At 38.8% G+C, this 23288-nt stretch overlaps 1 protein-coding gene and 1 pseudogene across 4 annotated transcripts in view; one reads left to right on the top strand and one right to left on the bottom strand.

The window, feature by feature from the left end:
• Positions 1–22390, top strand: part of ABCB1 (ATP binding cassette subfamily B member 1) — a 210279-nt gene extending 187889 nt beyond the window's left edge. For all 4 annotated transcript variants that reach the window (NM_001348944.2, NM_000927.5, NM_001348945.2 and 1 more), the window contains 7 exons: positions 4531–4631; positions 5941–6081; positions 8742–8898; positions 9979–10176; positions 15926–16132; positions 19364–19510; positions 20958–22390. In NM_001348944.2, coding sequence (NP_001335873.1) covers positions 4531–4631; positions 5941–6081; positions 8742–8898; positions 9979–10176; positions 15926–16132; positions 19364–19510; positions 20958–21164 — 1158 coding nt within the window. In that variant the 3' untranslated portion in view covers positions 21165–22390. The remainder of the gene's footprint in view (positions 1–4530; positions 4632–5940; positions 6082–8741; positions 8899–9978; positions 10177–15925; positions 16133–19363; positions 19511–20957) is intronic.
• HNRNPA1P9 (heterogeneous nuclear ribonucleoprotein A1 pseudogene 9) lies at positions 2795–4014 on the bottom strand (annotated as a pseudogene).

The following is a 23288-nucleotide window of genomic DNA, read 5'->3' as shown; positions in this document are numbered from 1 at the left end:
CCCTAACCCCCATGTTGTCCAAGGCTCCATTGTAGATGCTTTTTTACTTTTCAGAAATAAAAGCCATAAACTTGTTTATTTGAGGGTAGGAAGAGTAATGTCAGGAGGCTATTTTTTCTTTCTAGAAACATACATTTTTATTTCTTCAAAATTATTTAGTACACAACAGTTTCCGAGGGAAACTCGATGCTATTTGTTCTTGGATTAGAAATTCTCTCTCCTGATGGTGATTACTGAGTCTCCATTTAAAACTCTTGGAATAAACAAAGCTGTGAGGATGCGGGGTGCTAATTAAGCCTTTTCCTAATTGCTTCATTGTGCGTCAAGATGAAGACAGTCCTGAAGTTATTATACTGTTTTACTCACCACTTTTAGGTCTGTGACTCAAACTCCCACTTTTATTCGGCTATATACACACTAAAAAGCAATGACATTTACAAACCAATCTCAGACCAGACACTCCTGCCTTAGAACATGGTGCACAGAAAATATTTCTTAAAACCATTACACTGAAATATACAGTAAAATCTGTTTTTCAGCAGACATTGTTATAGTCTGTTGAATTTTCTTACTAATCTAGAAAACCTGTTTGTTAGAATTCTGATAATTAGAAATATTTCTTTTTTTTTTTGCTTGTGAAACTTCAGCTTTTATTTTATTTTTTTATTTTTATTATACTTTAAGTTTTAGGATACATGTACACAACGTGCAGGTTAGTTACATATGTATACATGTGCCATGTTGGTGTGCTGTACCCACCAACTCGTCATTTAACATTAGGTATATCTCCTAATGCTATCCCTCCCCCCTTCCCTCTACCCCACAACAGGCCCCAGTGTGTGATGTTCCGCTTCCTGTGTCCATGTGTTCTCATTGTTCAGTTCCCACCTATGAGTGAGAACATACGGTGTTTGGTTTTTTGTCCTTGCGATAGTTTGCTGAGAATGATGGTTCTAATGTGTCTGACAAAAGGATTGTCTTTGGGAATTTGAAGGTGAATTTTTTCTCCTCACCTTTTGCTTTCTGCACTTTTACGATTTTCTAAAGTGACTATATATCATTTTTATAATGTGTAAAAGAAGTTTATACAATATTTTAAAATAAACCTGCCATTTTCCTAATTTTCTAAGTATCTTGTGGTAAACATAATTCAATCTTCTTGGCCTGTCAGTGTAAGAATAATATTTTAAATTTTATTTTTAAATAAGTTTTTGTTTCTAAGAATGTTACTAATTTTTTTTTTTACTTCTGATAGATTTTGATATTAGTCTTCAAAACTGACTTAATGTCTTATGAAATGCTTGCTGTTATGTTTGAAGTTAGGTAATTTATGTAAGATTCAGTGAAGAATAAGTGGAATTCCATGTTTATGATTTTAAGCTATAAAACACTCTAAATTAAATGTGTCTTTATTAGAATCTGTTCTGACCAGTGCAGAGGCCAAAGAGAGGAAGAACATCTTAAACAATAAAGAGTCATTTCTCTTGGTGACTTATAATTCTGGAAGTTATTTCTCTTAAAATCATAGCATTAAAAGGGACTTTAGAGACCCTCTAGTCCATCGTCCTCATTTTGCAAATGAGGAAAATGAGACAGCATGTTGGTTCAAGGTGGTGCGGCTGATGTAGGCTGAAATCTCATCTTGTACACTGGTGTTCTTTGCTTTTTCCATATCCCTTTACTCAGACTCCAGAGGTGATGAAGGATGTATGTTTCCTAATCAGATTGCCTTGTTGGAAGTAACATTTGATTACAACATAATTGAATGATGGAAACTTTCTTTTTAAGATGGAGTCTCACTCTGTTGCCCAGGCTAGAGTGCAGTGACGCCATCTTGACTCACTGCAATCTCTGTCTCGCCAGTTCGAGCGCTTCCTCTGCCTCCCAGTAGCATGGGATTAAGGCATGTGCCACCATGCCCAGCTAATTTTTGTATTTTTAGTAGAGATGGGGTTTCACCATGTTGATGGTGGCTGGTCTCAAACTCCTTACTTCAAATGATCCACCTGCCTCCATCTCCCAAACTGCTGGGATTACAGGCATGAGCCACCATACCCAGCCCAAAACTTTCTGGAAAACAGATTGATAGTATGTGCCACATTCCTTAAAAAATTAAAAAAATTAATTCAAGCCAGGTGTAGTGCCATGTGCTTGTAGTCTTAGCTACTTGGCAGACTGAGGCAGGAGGATTGCTTACCCAGGTGTGTGAGGCTGCAGTGAGCTATGATGATCACACCTGTGAATTGCCACTGCACTGCAGCCTGGGCAACAGAGCAAGACCCCGTTTCTAAAAAAAAAAGTTAGTTTTCTTTGACTTATTAATTTCACCTTAAGAAATTTTCCTAATAAACCAATTCAATATGGACAAATGTTTAGGTACAAAGATGTTTATCTCACCACTATTTTTAATAAAAAAGGAATTGAAAACCTGGCTCAACAATAAAGGAATACTTAATTGGTTATGATATTAAAGGACTCATTACACATCTCATTATTAATGTGTATTTAATGAACTTGGAAAATGCTTTTGATATGAAGGTAAAAATAATGATATAGAGCTAAATATAGAGTTTCATTCCAATCTTTTTAAATATATTTATGCACTTAGGAAAAAAACAATATGGAAATGTGTAAAATATACTTTTTTTTTAAAAAAAAGGACACATTTATTCAGCATTATGATCAGACTATTACATTTAACAATCAACAGTATGGGTGCCAAAAAAAATCTACATTAAAACCCTTTGTTGTAATGCTTTACACTTTCCACAGAACAGAAACTAAAAGAATCTGTTACACAATTAGTCACAAATATAGTCCTCGAGTTTTTTACCCATACACATGAGTATTTGTCTAAAACATGTCTTCTTGTAGCACTTAGGCCCTGCCACCACTGTGCTTGTCTGAGTTCACAAATCTGTTGTAAACTGTAGCTTCCCTGTCACTTCTCTGGCTCTTATCTCCTGCTAAGATTTGTTTCCTGGCAGTAATTTAAAATCTTCTGCCACTGCTGTAGCTACTGCTGCTACTGGAACTGCCATAGCCACCTTGGTTTCATGGTTTGGCAAAGTACTGGCCTGTACCAGCATAGGGGCCAGAGCTTCTGCCTCCAAAGTTTCCTCCCTTCATGGGTCCAAAATGTAAAACTAATTGTTGTAATTGCCAAAATCATTACACCACCTCCAAAATTGCTTCCATGATTACCAAATCCATTATAGCCATCCCCACTGCCACTATATCCACCACCACCACAGCTGCCACCAAAGCCACAATGACCACTGAAGTTTCCTCCACGACCAAAGTTGTCATTCCCACCGAAACTACCTCCACGACCACCACCAAAGTTCCCAGAGCTGCTTTGCCTCTTTGGCTGGATGAAGCACTCACCATCTCTTGCTTTGACAGGGCTTTCCTAACTTCACAAGTGTGGCCATTCACAGTATGGGTATTTCTCAGTGACAGTCTTACCCATGGAGTCATGGTCGTCAAAAGTTACTAAAGCAAAGCCCCTTTTCTTATCACTGCCTTGGTCAGTCATGATTTCAATCACTTCAATTTTTCCATACTATTCAAAATAATCTCCTAGGTGATGTTCTTCAGTGTCTTTAATGCCACCAACAAATATCTTTTTCACAGTTGGGTGGGCATCTGGTCTTTGAGAATCTTCTCTTGAGACAGCTCTCTTTGGTTCCACAACTCTTCCATCCACCTTGTATGGCCTTGCATTCATGGCTGCATCCACCTCCTCCACAGTGGCATATGTGACAAACCCAAAGTCCCTTGAGCGCTTGGTATTTGGATCTCTCATTACCACGCAATCCATGAGCATTCCCCATTGCTCAAAATGGCTCCTCAGGCTCTCATTGGTCAACCAATGTAGAGCTCAACCTCCAATGAAGAATTTCCTCAGCTGTTTGGGCTCATTAGGAGACTCTGACTTAGACATGACGGCAGGGGAAAGAGAGACTTTAAGGATGCTTCCTTGGTGGCGTCCACGGGCAGAAAGGGGTAAGCGTCCACAGGCAGAGAGGAGTAAGCCTTTGAATGTATCTAAAATTTACTTTTTATTGCCTGCATTCTTTCACTATTTTCCAAACATTCTTCAATTGTCACAAATGGCAATGATAAAGAGAAAAATATAAACATCACATTTTAAAAATAAGTGTAAAATAACTGTGAACTTAAAATGTGATCATCATAGAAGAAAGAGCACTGCAATAGAAGTACTGTGAGTTCTCTGGTTAATTTTGCGAAGCCACGTAAAGCTGTGTGGCTTTAAGCAATGCCATAATCCATTTAAGTCTTAGCTTCTATTTCTGCAAAGGAGAAGTTTGAATTAGTCAATCTTCCTTCCAGATCCATAACTCAGTTTGATAAATTACTTAGTATCTTTTTCTACAGAGAAAATGCTCATACATAATAATAAATATGTAATCATAAAATTATTTTCATTAGTCTGTTTTATAGAATTCAAATTAATCACCACTATTTACTCTTGTGCCTCTTGGTGATCGGTGCTGTCTGTTACAGATCGCTACTGAAGCAATAGAAAACTTCCGAACCGTTGTTTCTTTGACTCAGGAGCAGAAGTTTGAACATATGTATGCTCAGAGTTTGCAGGTACCATACAGGTAATAACCGCTGAAGAGTGGGAGGAGAGTGTGAATAATTTTTCAATCATCATATTTGTTTTCAGAGGGATTACTTTGGCTAGAAGGTAGGGAGCAAGTGGAGAAAGTGCTCGAAGGTAAACCATTGAGAAACAGTTGTAATTATGCAGGAGAGAAAGTACAAGACCCTGAACTAAGGCAGGGACATCTCTGAGGTAGAACCTGTAAGAATGGGTCACTGATGAGAAGGGAGGGAGACATGATGCTGAGAATGACTATCTGATGTCCAGGTAGGATATGACCCTATAATTTGCTCTAGTTGAAAATGAGTTATTTATGGAACCTGAAATTTGAGGTACCTGTGGGACACAGAGAGGATGGTGCTTCCTGGGTTTACCTGTCTTTCTGCTTTTTACCCCTTCTCCAGTGCAGACCTTCTTCCTTTAATACAGTCATCCCAGTGAGGGCTCTAATAAGTGGTGTGAACATAAGCAAGCCCAACCTTTCTGAGTCTGTTTCTTATAATAAAAGGAAAGCTGGACTTTATTGATGGATTTTTAAGCTTTTATTTAAAAAAAATGATGGTAGAGCCTTTTTGTCTAAAAAAAAATTATTTGAAATCTTCATATGTGATGAAGGTAAAAGCAGAGTTGATCTGGTAGCAGGAGGGGTTGGAAGCCCAGGGCTGCCCACTTGCTAACCTGCCCCCACCCACACCTCCATATCACTGAGCTGGATCCATATCATGATTCTAGAATGTCAACCCCTTTTTAAAGCCTTCTCTGAGACCCCCGAAGAATTTAGTGCTTCTCCTTTCTTCCTATAACAGATTATTCATAAGGCACCTCTAATGCATAAATAGTAATTCAACTCAAGTCAGGTCTCCTAAGTCAAGAACATGCCTGTTTCCTCTATGTCAACCCATCATGGCCCCTGCACCTTGTAGGTGTTGGGTAACTGTGTGCAGAATGAATATTTACGTAGAGTACTTCCATACTGTGTGTCCAAAAGTGGGGAGAAAGGGAGATAACTTTTACTTATTGATCCCTAACCGGCTCTTTACAGTCATTGGATTATTTTCTCTTTACATCAACACTTTGAGGTGTAGTTAATTCTACATTAAAGATAAAGACACTGAGTCTCAGAGGTTAGGCAGTTTCCCAAATTTGCACAACTGTTAAGTGTAAAGTGAGGACCAAACTTAGTTCTTTGGAAACGAAACCCATTTTTGTTGGTCATGCCTCTGTGCCCTACTGCCAACCTATCAAAAGTTACATTTTAAGGACTGAGAAATGAAAGTGGAATGAGTTTTCAAATGTCTTCTTTTCAGAAACTCTTTGAGGAAAGCACACATCTTTGGAATTACATTTTCCTTCACCCAGGCAATGATGTATTTTTCCTATGCTGGATGTTTCCGGTTTGGAGCCTACTTGGTGGCACATAAACTCATGAGCTTTGAGGATGTTCTGTTGTAAGTATTGGGCTATTATTTAGTTAAGCTCTAAAAATAAAGCTGGGATGAACATGCTTCATGTCTAGATAGGAAACCCTACTGTGAAGCCTCATGAAGAGATTCTGGTGATTCCTAAATCGGCATTTCTGCCTCTGAGTCTTCATGTGCCACCATTGAAGCACCCCCTTTCATTTGGAGGAGCAGTAACTTCTTTCCTCATTGCTGGCTCACACATAGTTGACCTTTTCAAATCTGTGACTGAGTGGAGTGATTCCATTCGGAGATTTTGAGAAGGCCTTGGCATTTGGGAAGAAGCCTAGCCCTGAGCAAGGAGTCTGACTGGCTCCTTTTAAAGGACTTTCTTACAGAGCAAGTAAAATACAGATGTGTTGTACTAAGTTCTGCAAGCCTTTGGCAATTCCAGGATATGTTTACTTTCCCTTGATAAGAGAGGAATTGGAAGGTAAGAGCCAAATGAATTCAGAAATGACAAAGGAAAAGTTATATTGGGATTTTTCTGCTACATTGTTCTGAATGTAGATAATTGTACCTCGGTCAGAGGAAGATAAGCCTGAAGCAATTATACTACAAAAGTACCCAAATATGCAATTTGGTGGTCAAAAGTATGTGTAATCTTTCTGAGCTTCTAGATTTGGAGGTGGGTAAGATTCTGCCTCTTGATAGCATAACATAATTAGTAGCGATATAATTTTATATTTAAACCAGAATCATATAAGCCTGGCAGTATAATGTGTTAGTATAGTATTTCTGTCCTTTTTAAACATTGAGTTGTTCATGCATTACAGTTTGCTCAGGATGACCCCCAAAAAGACATCTAAATTTCCATTAAAGATGTACATTGGACAAATGATATGCAGGTGCTATTTGTGATTATGGCCTAGAGATCAAAACCAAGTATCACTGGCATTGGGGCTTTGATTAGATAATTATTTGATATATTGCTTTACTCCAAAAAATTGAATTGATGAAAGTTGCTGACATTGGGGCATTTAGGTTTGCAAAATCAACCTTCCAAGTTAAGGAAAAGGAAGACCTGTCTGAAGAACAGTGCATTAGAAAAAGGTCCCATAGGTTTAAATGATCACAAGTCCAAGATTAACTATCGGTATTTTATTTAGTGCTAGTTAAACAAACAAACAAACAAAAACTAATGACACAATATGCTACACAAACATAGGCATAGAGTCCAGAGGAAAGAAAGCGATGAATTCCCTGTATTCTGGGCGGGTTCCCAAGTATTATGTCTGTTCCAGGCTTGTGTTTAAAAAAAGCATATTAATAAATGTGTCTAGAGAAGGGCAGTGAAAGGAGTTATCAAAGAAGCAAAGGAGTTTTTAGCAATATTTCAAGACTTGTAGGCCTGTCTTATGTAAAAGGAAGTAAATTTTTTCTTCAGTTTGAAAAAGAACTGTTTAACAATAGACAATCAAACATGCTACTTCCTAAAACAGAGGATGGAAGCCAATTTAGGGGAGGTGTCCAGGCACGAACATGGAGAGCTGGACTTGATACCTGTAAGGTCCTTCCCAACTTTAAGTTGCTGTGATTCCCATGTCATAGATAAGAACGTCAATGCATCTTAAGAGCAACATGATATCTGGCTCTGTAAGAAACTTTCTTTTGGTTGCACAATTCATAGGTTTTTAAGAATCTGATGTAATTCCAACATCACTGACTGTATCCGTTGTTGATTACCACAATAATGCTGTGTAACAACCAGCCACTAAACCTCAGAGACATACATATTTTTGCCCACAAACCTATGGGTTAGCTGTGAAGTTCTACTGATCTGGATTAGGCATAGTGGATCTCGGCTGGACTTACTCATGTGTCTGTAGTGGATTGTGTCTGTAGCTGGTTGGTTGGGATTCAGACAGCTCTCCTCCATGTGTGCCTCATCCTCCAGCAGGCTATCCTGGGTTTGAGACAGTGGCAGAATTCTGAGAGAGAGAGAGAGAAAGAGAGAGAGAACACATGCATGCATGCTCACAAAGCATATAAGGCCCCCTGAGTCATAGGCTTGGAACTGGCAAAAGTGATTTCCACCATATCCTGTTGGCCAAAGCAAGTCACAAGGCCAGCCCAGATTCAAAGGGTGCTGCAAAGGTCACAGTGCAAGAAGATGAGGATACAGAGAGAGGTATACAGAGGGAAAAAAATGGGCCATTTTGCAATCAATCTATCACATAGACATGAACTTATAAGGAAATGTGTTTGTTTTATTTTTAACATCTGTTTTATAACTATTAGAGGCAAAGCTCTCTGGTTATAGAAGTGTCAACTTTTGGCCAGGCATGGTGGCTCACACCTATAATCCCGGCACTTTTGGAGGCTGAAGCAGGAGGTTCACTTCAGCCCGGTAGTTCGAGACCAGCCTGGGCAATATAGGGAGACCCCCATCTCTACAAAAAATAAAACAATTAGCTGGTGTGGTCATGCACAGTTGTAGTCCCAGCTACTACAGAGGCTGAGGTGGGAAGATCGCTTAAGCCCTGGAGATCATATCTTTAGTGAGCTCTGATTGCACTACTGCACTCCAGCCTGGGCAACACAGGAAGACCCCACCTCAAAAAAAAAAAAAAAAAAAAAAAGGAGTGTCAGCTTTCTAGCATTGTGATGGTAATGCTGTGCACATGTTTTGTGTTTGTGCTTTCCAGAGTATTTTCAGCTGTTGTCTTTGGTGCCATGGCCGTGGGGCAAGTCAGTTCATTTGCTCCTGACTATGCCAAAGCCAAAATATCAGCAGCCCACATCATCATGATCATTGAAAAAACCCCTTTGATTGACAGCTACAGCACGGAAGGCCTAATGCCGGTGAGTTTGATGTTTCAACTGTTTGATCTACTCCTGACTCCTGAATGAAAGTATTTTAAGTGGAAACTTAATAAAATTTGTACTTTCAAATATGCTGATGATAAAATAAAACTTCCTAGATCATAGATTCCTTTCAATTACTGCTAATAATATACATCAACATTCAGTACTTTTACGTAGCAAAGGTTATAGGGAAATAGGAATACTGCTCACTTTATAAGCAAAACCTATTAATCAGATTTTTTAAAAACAATTTTTTTTTAGAGACAGAGTCTTACTCTGTCATCCAGGCTGGAGTGCAGCAGTATGATCATAGCTCACTGCAGCCTTGATCTTCTGGGCTCAAGCGATCCTCCTGCCTCAGCCTCCCAAGTAACTGGGACTACAAGCGTGTGCCATCATGCCCAGCTAATTTTTTAATTATTTGTAGAGACAGGGTCTCGTTATGTTGCCCAGGCTGGTTATCAGATTTTATTGTATGTAAGTTACTGTATTCCTGAGGAACAGATTTGAGTTATTGTAGCTGTATTGCATATTCATATTGTCTTAACAATACATGCTATGAAAGCTTTTACTCTTTTAGATCTCATTTATTAAATTCTAGCAGTCTGAGGTCAAGCACAGTGGCTCATGCCTGTAATCCCAGCACTTTGGGAGGCCAAGGTGGGTGGATCACGTGAGGTCAGGAGTTCGAGACCAGCTTGGCCAATATGGTGAAACTCCATCTCAAATAAAAATAAAAAAAAAAAGATTAGCTGGGTGTGGTGGCACACGCCTGTAATCCCAGCTACTTGGGAGGCTGAGGTACGAGAATTGCTTGAACCTGGGGGGTGGAGGTTGCAGTGAGCTGAGATCATGCCACTGCACTCCAGCCTGGGTGACAGAGTGAGACTCTGTCTCAAAAAAATAAAAAATAAATAAATAATAAAATTAAAATAAAATAAATTCTAGCAGTTTGAAGTGAAGCCAATTGTAACACAAATTAATTATCTTCTGACACCTGGTAATCGAGAGAGTTAGCTATACACTTTATTTTCAGTATTGCAGCATTCAAATTTACTGTTATTCTTCTCATTGCAGAACACATTGGAAGGAAATGTCACATTTGGTGAAGTTGTATTCAACTATCCCACCCGACCGGACATCCCAGTGCTTCAGGGACTGAGCCTGGAGGTGAAGAAGGGCCAGACGCTGGCTCTGGTGGGCAGCAGTGGCTGTGGGAAGAGCACAGTGGTCCAGCTCCTGGAGCGGTTCTACGACCCCTTGGCAGGGAAAGTGGTGAGCACACTTTCACATTTAGCTCAGTTCAGGTTTTCATCATCCAAATGTCTGAATGTATTTAATTCTCAACTATAAGCCATGTTTTTTCAAACCTTTAAACAACAGTCCCACTTGGATAAAGTCTGAGAGCCTAAATATGGTCTCCAAGTGGTGTCATCTGTCCCAGCCAACTTCTCCAGGCTCCCCTCAACACTACCCCTCTACCCTCCTTTGCAAGCACCCTTTGTACCACCTGTCTCCCTTGCTGTACTTAGGTTTCAGCTGACTTGAAAAGAACCAACAAAAATGGAAGTAGCCAGAAAGATACAGGACAGGTGCTAGGAGTGAGATGAAAGCCAAGGATGGAGACTGTTTCAAAGATGGTGGTCAGCAATGACAGATGGTATAGAGAGATTGGGTAAGGAGGAGACTGAGAAGACATGATAGAATCTAGCAATGAATGGGCTATTTCTGACATTTTAAAATATTCTTAGTGAAGTAGTGATGGTAGGAAACAGTTAAGGGTGGCTGAAGTATGATTAGGGGAAGAAATGGAGATGTAAGTGAGCATAGATTATCAAGAAGATGGAAAGTAAAAGAAAGGCAAATAAGGACAGCACTTGAGTGGGGAGGCAGAGTCCAGGGAAAATGTTTAGGGGTTGAACTCTTGAGCATTTTTATGACTGGGGATGAGACAAAATCATTGATGGAGAGAGGGCATTGAAACATCATCTGAGGAAAAAAAAGTAGAATCAACAAATTTGGGAAATGTAAAAAGAACATGGAAGTATGCCCTTTTGTCTTAGTTGCTGGGGATGAGGGAAGTGTCTGGCAGGGAGTAGTGAGTTTAAACGACTATGATGGGGGATAGGAAAGAAGACAAACTAGGAAGGAATAGAATTAAGAGCAAGACATTTTCATTATGTAGGCATGTAATTAGTTGTACTGAGAAGTGATATTTAAAATTCTTAACAATGGGAACAGCATGGACACTGACCAATCAGAATGGATGCCTGCTAGTACAAGTCAGATGGATGCCCACCCGCTGTGTATGGACGCTGGTAGCATTTAATGACTCAAATGAAAAGAGAGTTTTCAATCTTTAGTCTAGGACTCTTTTTACTTCCTCACAGCGGTCACTCTTACTCATAAATGTTTGTTATTGTATTCAAAGACAGTTATGCCTTTATTCAGTTTACTCTTAAATCATTACAAGCTTGTTCCCTACTTTTACTCTCTTGCTTTATATTTTCTGTGAACTCTGATTGTGTCCTTCAATTTTGTGGTGAACTTAAAAACAGGACTCTAAATAAAGACGTCGCTGACAGCCAAAGCAATTAGAGGAGGAAATGTTAGCTCTCAGACACTGATTATGGCCCTCAACAGACAGTTATTAAGTGGTGTGTTAAAGATTGTGCTATAATGAATTGTAGGGCATGATATCTGCCCTCAAATACTTTAACTGAGGAGATGGGGCATATAGTTTTGTGAGTTAAAGGAGATAGGCCTAGAGCTAGTTCTTAAGAGATAAGGATTTGCATATGGGTGAACAGTAGGGATGACATTCAATGTAAGAGAAAATACAAGCTGCGATCAGTGATTTGTTCCCAATGCAGCAAATAGGACACTTTGGCTGAAATGGGAGTTTAGTTTGAGTAGTGGTTCTCAAACTTCTCTGATGAGAACTCATGTAGGAAAGATTTAAAGATGTCACCATCCACTAATGTACTCATAGTCACTTTCCAGTGGGAAAAACACTTGGTGATAACAAAATGTTGGAGTTGAAAACAACAATACAATACAGCACAATAATGATACAATAAGGAATAATTAATGATTATTCTGCAAGTATATAAACACAAGCAGAACATAATAAAACATGGACAGCATCAGTTACAGTTCAGAGTAGGAAACAGAAACTGCCCTAGGTATTTCAAGTAGATAAGTATTTAATAAAGGGAATTACATGCTTACAAAATCTTTGGAAGGGCTGGAAGAGTGAAAGGAGGCTATTTGCTCCCAGACTTCCAAATCACAGCACTGCAGCTGTGATTCTGTAACCAAGAAGCTGCAGAAAATTATGCCGATATCACAGCTGTTCCAAATTTAAAGACACGAGACTAGAATCTGGCTGTTGCAGAAATTCTTGTCTGCCAAAGATGAGTTAAGCCGTTAGCTTACCACAGCTGCTGAAGGAGAGCTGGTGTCTACCTCCCAGATTTTACACTGTGCATCTCCCTCGTAGACCCTGACTTACTTCCAGAACCAAGGGAAACTGGGAAATAGTTTTTAGCCTTCTAGTCCCTTGATGTATAAAAGGTCAGACACAGAAGTATATGAAAATGAATGCTGAGTGCATAGGACAGTAAGCATCCCAAGACATTATTGATAATGCACTGAAAACAAAGTGTCCTCATTTATTGCAGGAATATCCATTATCTTCTCCTGTGCATTTGCACTAGGGCTTGGAAATACTGCCAGATGGTGCACTGCAGCCAGACTTCTCAGCAGAAAGTGTCCACAATAAACTCTAGTAAATGTACAAAGTTTTGTTTATGGACATCAATGAGTAGCCCTGAATAACTCAGTGGATTACTACTAATTAGTTTTTATTGCCATGTAAAAATGAGTCTGTGGATTTGAGCATAAGAATTAAAGAAAGGATTGGACCCTAAGGACCCCCTGAAGTCAGGAAATTCTCGTGACCATCAGTGGACCTTGAATCCCATGTTGAAAAACATTGACCTGAAATGGTGGTTCTAAAGCTTCGGTGAATATTAGAATGGCCTCAAGAGCTAGTAAAAAACACAGCCGGCCTGGATTATTCAAGTAGGCTAGGGTTTGGCCTTTTATTTTTATAATATTCCGAGGTGATTCTGATGCCAACCATCATTCGAGAGCCACTGAACTGGTAAATTTGAAGAAAGATTTAGGTTAAATTGTGGAGAGTCTTGAATAATTAAGCTATGAAATTGTGAAGATGGGAGGATCCTCCAAGTTTTGAGGGACCTGAAGGTTATACAATTGTAGGGATTCAACTTAAAGTAAAAAAAAAAAATTTTTTTTTTAATGCAAAATTAGATACAAAGGTGGATATTTACTTCAAATGAAAAAAAAATCATAACCAAATACTGGAAGCTTAAAGATTCTGGTCCCTTTTCATTTTTAGGTAATTTATCATCAATACTTACAGGGAAGAGCTTCCTGACTACAGCCTTGCCTCCCTCCCACCCAGAAAACTGTTCGACTTCCCAGAATTTACATGTAATTGAGGGCTCTTGAAGCTTAACCTTCATCAGTGTCACTGTTAAATCACCCCTGCTTTGAGTCTTCCCCTTACCTTTCCTTTCTCCCCTTTCCAGTCTCTCCCATATACAACAGTCAGAACCCCCTTTGGGATACAATTAGAAGCTGCTTGTCATTGTCTGGTTATAACCCAAGAAGTGCCTGAGCCAAGATGGGGGCATTCCCCTTTCAAGGGGGGACACAAAATATCTTTCAGTTGTGAGGTATTAGTGTTACCAAAACCCAACCTAGAGTGTTTAGATCCAGTCTTGGTTTTCCCCCAATTACTAATTGTGTGACCTTGTATAAGTTACTTAACTTTGCTCATTTCCTTATCAGTAAAATGGGAATTAACATCACAGTGACCTTATAAGTGTTGCTATGAAGGTTAAACAAGAGACTGTATGAGACATGCTTATCACAGAACCTACAACGTTGTCAGTGCTTGATTTTTAAAAATCAATTATTATTTCACAGTAAATATGCATAGAAGAATACACATTTAACATTTACATTTTTGCGCTAATGAAAGCAAGCAATAGACTTAACAGTCTACAATAGAGATAGCCAATCATTTTAATCTGGCCTTTCATTATTTCTTACCAATAGGTTTACTTTCCTAGTTATATTTTTATTTAGGCCAGGATTTTTTGAGCACTTCTCATAGATTCCCCAGAGTTCCTTGGTCTTTCCTCAGACCAACACCATTCCTCAGCCAAAGAAGCTCTGCTTCTTTGATCTGTTTTACATTCTAGGCATCTAAACTTGTTTTACTTAAAGAAAGAATTCTTCAGTCAACACAGGTTTTAAATAGTTTGCAATTCTAGGGTATTATGCGGGGACGAGGAGGCCCAAGAGTGTATTCAGTGTAATGAAGAAACTCATTATAACTTGCTGAGATCATTCAGATTTGCCTGTGATTATATTAGTTAGGCAGTGTCTGTTTTCCTCCCAGGGGTATAAACCTGGAAAATTACAACAAAAACAAAAGCAAAAACCAAACTCCTCCTTTCCTTAAATTTCCACTTCTCAAGTACAGTGTTTTATCTAACAAGATCTGCTGCTTAGCCACATCCTTGTTTGGCTTTCACTGTCTCTCTCCACCCTCTACTTTCCACCTTCATTTATTAACATTGTAAGGAAGCCTGGAGCATACATGTGTGGAATAGTCTCCATGGCAACTCAGCTTGGAACTAATAAGGTTATGGGAGAGCTTCCATCCCTGCACCTGCCAGTGTCACAAGCAGAAGCCATGTTCCTGTAGCAAAGATTGTACTCTACTGCTAGGCAGCTGTCCCCTTGAGCCACCCAGCCAGGCACATGGGATACAGAGAGTATATGGCTCAGCACGCACTAGTCACTACTATTAGAAAAGCTCAAAGCTGAGTCACTGGTGCCTTCTTCAGAAGGGATGAACAGCTCTCTCACTTGAATGCCAGAAAATTATCTTGCAAAGCAGACCTATCTGATAGACATATTTGCATCAGAGTAGGGCTTGTTATCAGCAAGGCTGTAAGGTGCCCTCCCCAGTCTTCTGCAGGATAATCCAGGGAGCCAGATTATAGAGAAAGGGCAGCCCTCTGTTCCTACTCATCTGGCTCAGTATTGAGGATCTCCATTCACCCTTTCCTACCCCTGTTCACCTATCCATCCCCTGTAGTTCCTGACCTGCAAAGCTATTATGTGGTCATAGTTGTTATTTATTTCCATGCTAATCCTGGGCACTGTTTCTCTGAAAAATGGAGATTTAAGAATAAGGCTGTCAGGATACATCTCAGAAGTATTAGGCGTTGTATTAGTGTGGCTGCTATAACCACTTGCCACAAATTCAGTGGCTTAAAACAACACCAATTTATGACTTTACACTTCTGGAGGTCAGAAGTCTAAAATAGGTCTCAGTGGGCTCATATCAAGTGTCAGGAGGGCTGTGTTCCTTCTAGAGGCTCCAAAGGATGATCTGTTTTCTTGCTTGTGGCCCCTTCCTCCATTTTCAAAACCAGCAGTGGCTGGTTGAGTCTTTCTCACACTGCATTTGCTGATACTCTTCTCCCTCCTTCTTCTTCAGTTAAGAGCCCTTATGATTACATTAGTTTCACCAAGATAATTCAGGATAATCTTATTTTACAGTCAGCTGATTAGCAACCTTACATCTACTACTTTAGTTTCTTTTTGCCATGTAACATAACACATTCACAGGATCCAGGGATTAGGACACAGATGTCTTGTGGGAGAGGGAACATTATTCTGCCTACCACATGCATACATCAGAAACCATGGTTGAAACACAGGAAACATGACAGTTCCTCAAGGCATACAATTATGACCTTGTTGGGTTAACCTTCACTATCCAAATTTTAATCACACAAACTTTTCCTTAATCTCACAGTAACTTGGCAGTTTCAGTGTAAGAAATAATGATGTTAATTGTGCTACATTCAAAGTGTGCTGGTCCTGAAGTTGATCTGTGAACTCTTGTTTTCAGCTGCTTGATGGCAAAGAAATAAAGCGACTGAATGTTCAGTGGCTCCGAGCACACCTGGGCATCGTGTCCCAGGAGCCCATCCTGTTTGACTGCAGCATTGCTGAGAACATTGCCTATGGAGACAACAGCCGGGTGGTGTCACAGGAAGAGATTGTGAGGGCAGCAAAGGAGGCCAACATACATGCCTTCATCGAGTCACTGCCTAATGTAAGTCTCTCTTCAAATAAACAGCCTGGGAGCATGTGGCAGCCTCTCTGGCCTATAGTTTGATTTATAAGGGGCTGGTCTCCCAGAAGTGAAGAGAAATTAGCAACCAAATCACACCCTTACCTGTATACAAGCATCTGGCCACACTTCCTGTTTGGGTTAGTTGTTACCTTTACCTGATCACCTGACCCTCCTTGTGAGGAAGGGATGAAAGTGTTCGACCACTTCAGGTTTAGGAGAGAGGAACATTTCTGGGATAGGAGAACTGGAACAATTGTCTTGATCCAAAGCTATAGGCTTGAGGCTCCACCTTTGTCAGCCTTAGGGGTAAGTACAATATCTGGAAAGCCTTTCACTTTAAGTCCAAGTACAGAGTCTGGGTCCCCACCTGCACATGCTGCTTCTGGCCTGCTGAGGAAGTAGGCATGACTGTCTCTCCCCATGTCTCTCCCCTATTTCTCTTCCTTCTTCCTCCTTGCAGCTCTCTCCCAAGCCTCAAAACTCACTGTGGAGTCAGTCCAGTCCAGAGGGCTGAACCCATGCCAGAAAGAGTGCTCTCTCTGAATAAGGGTTGAACCATTAAAGTGACCATGGTATCATGTAATCTCTCATCGTCATACATTTCATGGGCCCCAAACTTTGTTTACAGTGAATGGTTGAAATCTTTTCTAGGGCTCCCTGGGCTGTGGTCCTATGGGTGTCCTCTGAATTCCTCCTAGGAAGTTGGATAAATGGAACCTCTCATCCTCTCTCAAGCCCTCTTAGGTCCTGTGTATTAGTTTTTGTGTTTTGTTTTGTTTTGGAATACAAGTTGACTATTCCTTGTCCAAAATACTTGGGACCAGAAGTGTTTTGGATTTTGGAATATTTGCATATACATAATTCACTTATATTTCATGTATACCTTATACACATAGCCAGAAGGCAATTTTATACAAATTTTTAATAACTTTGAGCATGAAACAAAGTTTTGACTGTGTTTTGACTGTGACCTGTCACATGAGATCATGTGTGAAATTTTCCACTTGTGGCATCATGTTGGTGCTCAAAAAGTTTCAGAATTTCAGATTTTGAATTTTTTGGATTATGGATGCTCAACCTGTATTAAAAGTCCAAAATTAGATTTTTTCCAACCTTTATTTTAGACTTAGGGGGTACATGTACAGGTTTATTATACCTGGGTATATTGCATGATGCTGAGGTTTCAGGGTACAAATGATCCTGTCACCTAGGTACTGAGCACAGAACCCAATAGGTAGTTTTTCAACACTTACCCCCCTTCCCTCCCTACACTAATAGTCCTCAGTTTCTATTGTTGCCACTTTTCATCTATGAGTACCTGATGTTTAGCTGCCACTTATAAGTGAGAACATGCAGTATTTGGCTTTCTGTTCCTGCATTACTTTGCTTGGGATAATGGCCTCCAGCTGCATCCATGTTGCTGCAAAAGTTAGGTCCTATATTTTGAAGTGCTTCTCAACCTAGGTAATCTACCTCACCCATTATCACCAGTTATGCTCTTTATTCTAAGGAAGTGCCCCCTAAAACAAAGCTCAGGAGCCTCAACCCGGCGGGGAAGACAGTTTCCTCACGAGGCAGGCAAGCAACACCAGGTGGCTCTCTTTCCCAAGATTCCCTTCTTCCATAGGCTCTTCTTTGGATAACTGCTGACACCAATCTCATTAAGTCCCAGGGAGGTGGCCTTGTCTCCCACTCTCCTTTCACAGTCTAGCCCAACTAGATAATTGACCCTTCTCCAGGCTCAAACATTTAAAACAGAAAGCTCCAATCCCCTTTACTGATGAGAGGATAGTGGTTCTCAAGTATAGACACGGATCAGCATCACCTGGGAACCTGTTAGGACTGCAGATCCAGCAATCCACGTTTTAAGAGCCCAGGTAATACTGTTGCAGGCTCAAATTGGGGAACCACTGGGCTAGGGGTTAATAAAACACAAACACAGAGAGTAACTATTATCTATCTTTTTAAATATACTTTGCCTCTCTGGCATTTGTCTACCACAGGACAAATCCTGGTCTCTAATCTGTCACACAGAACACACCTGTAGACACCATAATTCTCTTCCTCAGTGTCTAGACCAGGAGAGAAAAGGTAAAACCCCTAAGTCCTATTACCTAAGGATCCACTTCTCCTAAGTGATTAATACTAGGATTTACCTCACCCTGTAGGTGGCTGGTTTAGCTACCTCCTTGTAAGACTGCCGCACTGCCTTTATCTGCCTCAACAGGATCAGTACTATATCAAGAGTGCAACTAGTAAACCCTCCACTCACATGAGATACACTTCAGTGCTCCTGCCTTCTGAGACAGCCACAGCTCTGGGGTAGAGCCAGTCCCAAGCATCTGCCAAAACCTCATCTGGCGTCTTCTCCCTCTATTTACAGGGGGAAACCCAGGGCTGAGTGCCACAAAACTAGGGTTGCCAGATATAGCAAATAAAAATAGGCAACCCTGTACTAAAATTTCAGCCTGGAAATAATAAGATAGTATTGTTTTCTAGGTTACAAGTGCAGTCACATCCTGTTTCTGCTCTCTCCTGAGTAACCTTTAACTGCTGTCCCTATCATCATAGTGAATAGTTGGTGACAATTATCCATTGTGGGAAACAACACGGGAAGAATTTTGGGAGCACTCTAACAACAAAAATGTTTAAAAAGGAGATGTTCATTTTCAAAGTTAGATATCAAAATGGAATCCATTTTGATAGCATCCATTAAAATTGTTTAAGTGTTGGAGATACTTTCATAAAAACAGACACTAAAAGGCTGATATCCCAAGAATGTCTTTCCTCAATTTAAAATCATGCAGAGAGTGTCACCTGCTGGTTACAAGTAAGATGAGCTTCAATTATTTTATTATGAATACTTTGTTCAAATCAAATTTCCTTTCTCCTGCCAATCTTTGTCCCAAATATAATGAAATCAGAAGATGGAAGATACTAACATTGCAACAATATTCTTCTTCATTAAAATGCTGACCTGTTTACACTAAAACATATCATCTTAAGGCCCAAACATTTATTTTCAAATAGATAGTAAACCTGCCATTTTGGGCTTTTTTACTGTTCTTTCCTTAATTATTCATGAACCATTCTTAGCTTCTGAACCTAAATTTTTGGAGTATATAGAATCGTCTATCCTACTTTCTATAAGCAAGCTGTTAGAACTTTACTTTCAGTTCTACTTTCATAACAACAAAACCTTATTTACAGAAATATAGCACTAAAGTAGGAGACAAAGGAACTCAGCTCTCTGGTGGCCAGAAACAACGCATTGCCATAGCTCGTGCCCTTGTTAGACAGCCTCATATTTTGCTTTTGGATGAAGCCACGTCAGCTCTGGATACAGAAAGTGAAAAGGTAAGAATTTAAATTGGGTTCATCCATACTTGAATCAGTCATCCTTAAAAATGCTGTATTCTCCATAGTAAAGAACAAAATGCAGCCAGATTATTGACAGTTACTTACATCACCTTTCAGTAAAATGTAAACACTTTCTGTAGCTGTTATTCAGGAGAGTAAAGATGACACAAGGCAGATTAGTCTTAGAGCACATATGCTTCACAAACCATCACTAGATCAGTTTGCGTTGACCTAAGAAGCTGCTTTCAGGAACCATATTTCCTACTTCTACTGGCAGCATCTCTTCAGCAACCATAAGGAAAAGTGGTAGTGTAAGACAGTGTTAAAATCTGGCTGTACCTTTTAAGATAAATATTAGCAATCATTTCTAGTCAGAGAAAACGTTAAAAATTCAGATTATCTGAAAGACGAACTCAGTATGAGGTATTCTCTACAATAAAAAAATTCGGGAGTCTGTATTTGGCCTTTGCTCAGGCTTCTTGAATTTACTGTGAGCTGGATTTGAGGTCTGTTTTCAAGGATGTTGTAACATCCTTGAAACTAAGGTAAACACATTAGTAAATGTTTTTAAATGAGTCAGTGAACTGTATTTACTGCCTTAACTTTAAGAGTAGATGACTGCTGGCCGGCACCTACTGCCGTGGCTCACACCTGTAACCCCAACACTTTGGAAGGCTGAGGTGGGAGGATCACTTGAGCCCAGGATTTTTGAGACCAGCCTGGGTAACACAGAGAGACATTGTCTCTACAAAAAATAAAATAATTAGCTAGGCATGGTGGTGGGAACTTGTAGTCCCAGCTACTCAGAAGGCTGAGGTGGAAGAATCGCTTGAGCCCAGGAGGTTGAGGCTGCAGTAAGCCATGATTGTACCACTACACTCCACCCTGGTGACAGAGTGAGGCCCTGTTTCAAATAAAAAAAAAAAGTTAGGGATAGATAACTGCTGCCTCGGAACTAACCCAAATTAGGGTTCAGTCATCTGATATGACAAATCCTTTGTTTTCAAAAACCTGTTCTATTTCACTGACACCTTGTTAAGAAGGATCTATTGTTGTATTGTTGTGGAGCTTTTTTTTTTTTTTTTCTTTGAGATGGAGTCTCGCTCTGTCGCCCAGGCTGGAGTGCAGTGGCGCAATCTTGGCTCCCTGCAAGCTCTGCCTCCCGGGTTCACACCATTCTCCTGCCTCAGCCTCCCGACTAGCTGGGACTACAGGCACCCACCACCAAGCCCAGCTAATTTTTTGTATTTTTGATAGAGATGGGGTTTCACCGTGTTAGCCAGGATGGTCTCAATCTGACCTTGTGATCTGCCCGCCTTGGCCTCCCAAAGTGCTGGGATTACAGGCGTGAGCCACCATGCCCGTCCTACTGTGGAGCTTTTTATGGAAGAGGAATTAGGGAAAAGAACTATTATGAGAATTAATCTATGTGATTATGGAATAGGTTGTCCAAGAAGCCCTGGACAAAGCCAGAGAAGGCCGCACCTGCATTGTGATTGCTCACCGCCTGTCCACCATCCAGAATGCAGACTTAATAGTGGTGTTTCAGAATGGCAGAGTCAAGGAGCATGGCACGCATCAGCAGCTGCTGGCACAGAAAGGCATCTATTTTTCAATGGTCAGTGTCCAGGCTGGAACAAAGCGCCAGTGAACTCTGACTGTATGAGATGTTAAATACTTTTTAATATTTGTTTAGATATGACATTTATTCAAAGTTAAAAGCAAACACTTACAGAATTATGAAGAGGTATCTGTTTAACATTTCCTCAGTCAAGTTCAGAGTCTTCAGAGACTTCGTAATTAAAGGAACAGAGTGAGAGACATCATCAAGTGGAGAGAAATCATAGTTTAAACTGCATTATAAATTTTATAACAGAATTAAAGTAGATTTTAAAAGATAAAATGTGTAATTTTGTTTATATTTTCCCATTTGGACTGTAACTGACTGCCTTGCTAAAAGATTATAGAAGTAGCAAAAAGTATTGAAATGTTTGCATAAAGTGTCTATAATAAAACTAAACTTTCATGTGACTGGAGTCATCTTGTCCAAACTGCCTGTGAATATATCTTCTCTCAATTGGAATATTGTAGATAACTTCTGCTTTAAAAAAGTTTTCTTTAAATATACCTACTCATTTTTGTGGGAATGGTTAAGCAGTTTAAATAATTCCTGTTGTATATGTCTATTCACATTGGGTCTTACAGAACCATCTGGCTTCATTCTTCTTGGACTTGATCCTGCTGATTCTTGCATTTCCACATTAAGGTGGCTCTCAAACCCAAAACACAGATCGATATAAGATTTTAGGAGGTGGGGTGAGGCACAATTATGAAGTGCATATTATTCAGATGTATAGTAAATACTTTGCATTGCTTTTATAAAGGGTTCTTTAAGGATTTTTTAAGATTTTTACACTTCCAAAGTACATTTACTTTTTGTCTTGATAATGAATCACTTTTGCCAGTAATTGGCCTCTTCCAAAAGTGATCCTTCTGACTTACAGATGTTTAAAATGTGCCATGAGTTTAACTACATCTTGATACAAACATGATAAAAAAAGAAAAAAATATATTCCAAAGGTTGGGACTCTGGACGACAAATTTTTTTAAATTAGCCAAAAAGCATTATTAACATTATAAACTATATTTACTATAAACAATTGCTATCTTAAATAAGCAACTTCTAAAAATAAAAAAAAGAAGCCATCACCTCCAGGAAAAAAAAATAGGAAAGGATATAATCAGGTAATTCTCAAAGAAGAAATGCATGAGAAAAATGTATACAGTTTCAACAATCAAATAAATGCAAATTAAAACAAAATATCATTTTTTTGCCTTGTAATTTAATGATGAATAAAAAAATCTAATGTGACATTCCTTATTAGTTGAATTGGTCATTGATATAAACTTCTTTGTTATTTGATAATGTAAGTAAAAAATGTAAATGTATATCCTTCAAGACAGCAATTGTAATTATAAGGATTTAAGAGATATGTAAAAGGATACTTTTAGTAGCATTACTTATAATATTGAAAATTGGAAAGATCTAAATATTTAACAGTAAGAAATTATACATTAAGTTTTGGTGCATTCACAAAATGGAATACCATATAATCATTAGAAAATTATGTTGAAGAATATTACAAAATATAATTTGTATAAAGAAAAAATGGTTGCCAAATGGCTTGAACAATATGGTGGCTTTTTAAATATTATATATATAATATAAATCTATATTTATGTATCTATAGTTATCTATCTATATTTATGTATCTGTAACTATAGATACAGTCTATATATAATTATATATAATTTTATATATATATAATTATATATAATTTTATATATATATAATTATATATAATTTTATATATATAATTATATATATAATATATATAATTATATAATATAAAATTATATATAATTATATATATAATATATATTATATATATAATATATATAATATATATAATTATATATACTATATATATATTTAAACTTCTGAGAGACAATCCAAAATAAACCAGAATTAGAAACAATTTTATCTCCTAAGTTTTCAGCTTTTGTTTTAAAATTTTAAGGCTTTAAAAAGTGTGCTTAGTTTAGGAAATTTCGATAAATTTATGTGAATAGAAGCATAAAACCATGTCACTTGGTTTGACTTCTTAAAGATTTTTCCCTCAACTCTTTGTATGTCTGCTGTAAGGACACTTTCTTTTTTTTTTTTTTTCTGAAGCGGAGTCTTGCTCTGTTGACCAGGCTAGACTAGAGTGCA

The sequence above is a fragment of the Homo sapiens genome, chromosome 7, assembly GCF_000001405.40.
Source record: "Homo sapiens chromosome 7, GRCh38.p14 Primary Assembly".
In the NCBI taxonomy this organism is placed as follows: Eukaryota; Metazoa; Chordata; class Mammalia; order Primates; family Hominidae; genus Homo; species Homo sapiens.
Note: the sequence above shows the minus strand (reverse complement) of the source record. Positions and strands in the feature narration are given on the sequence as shown.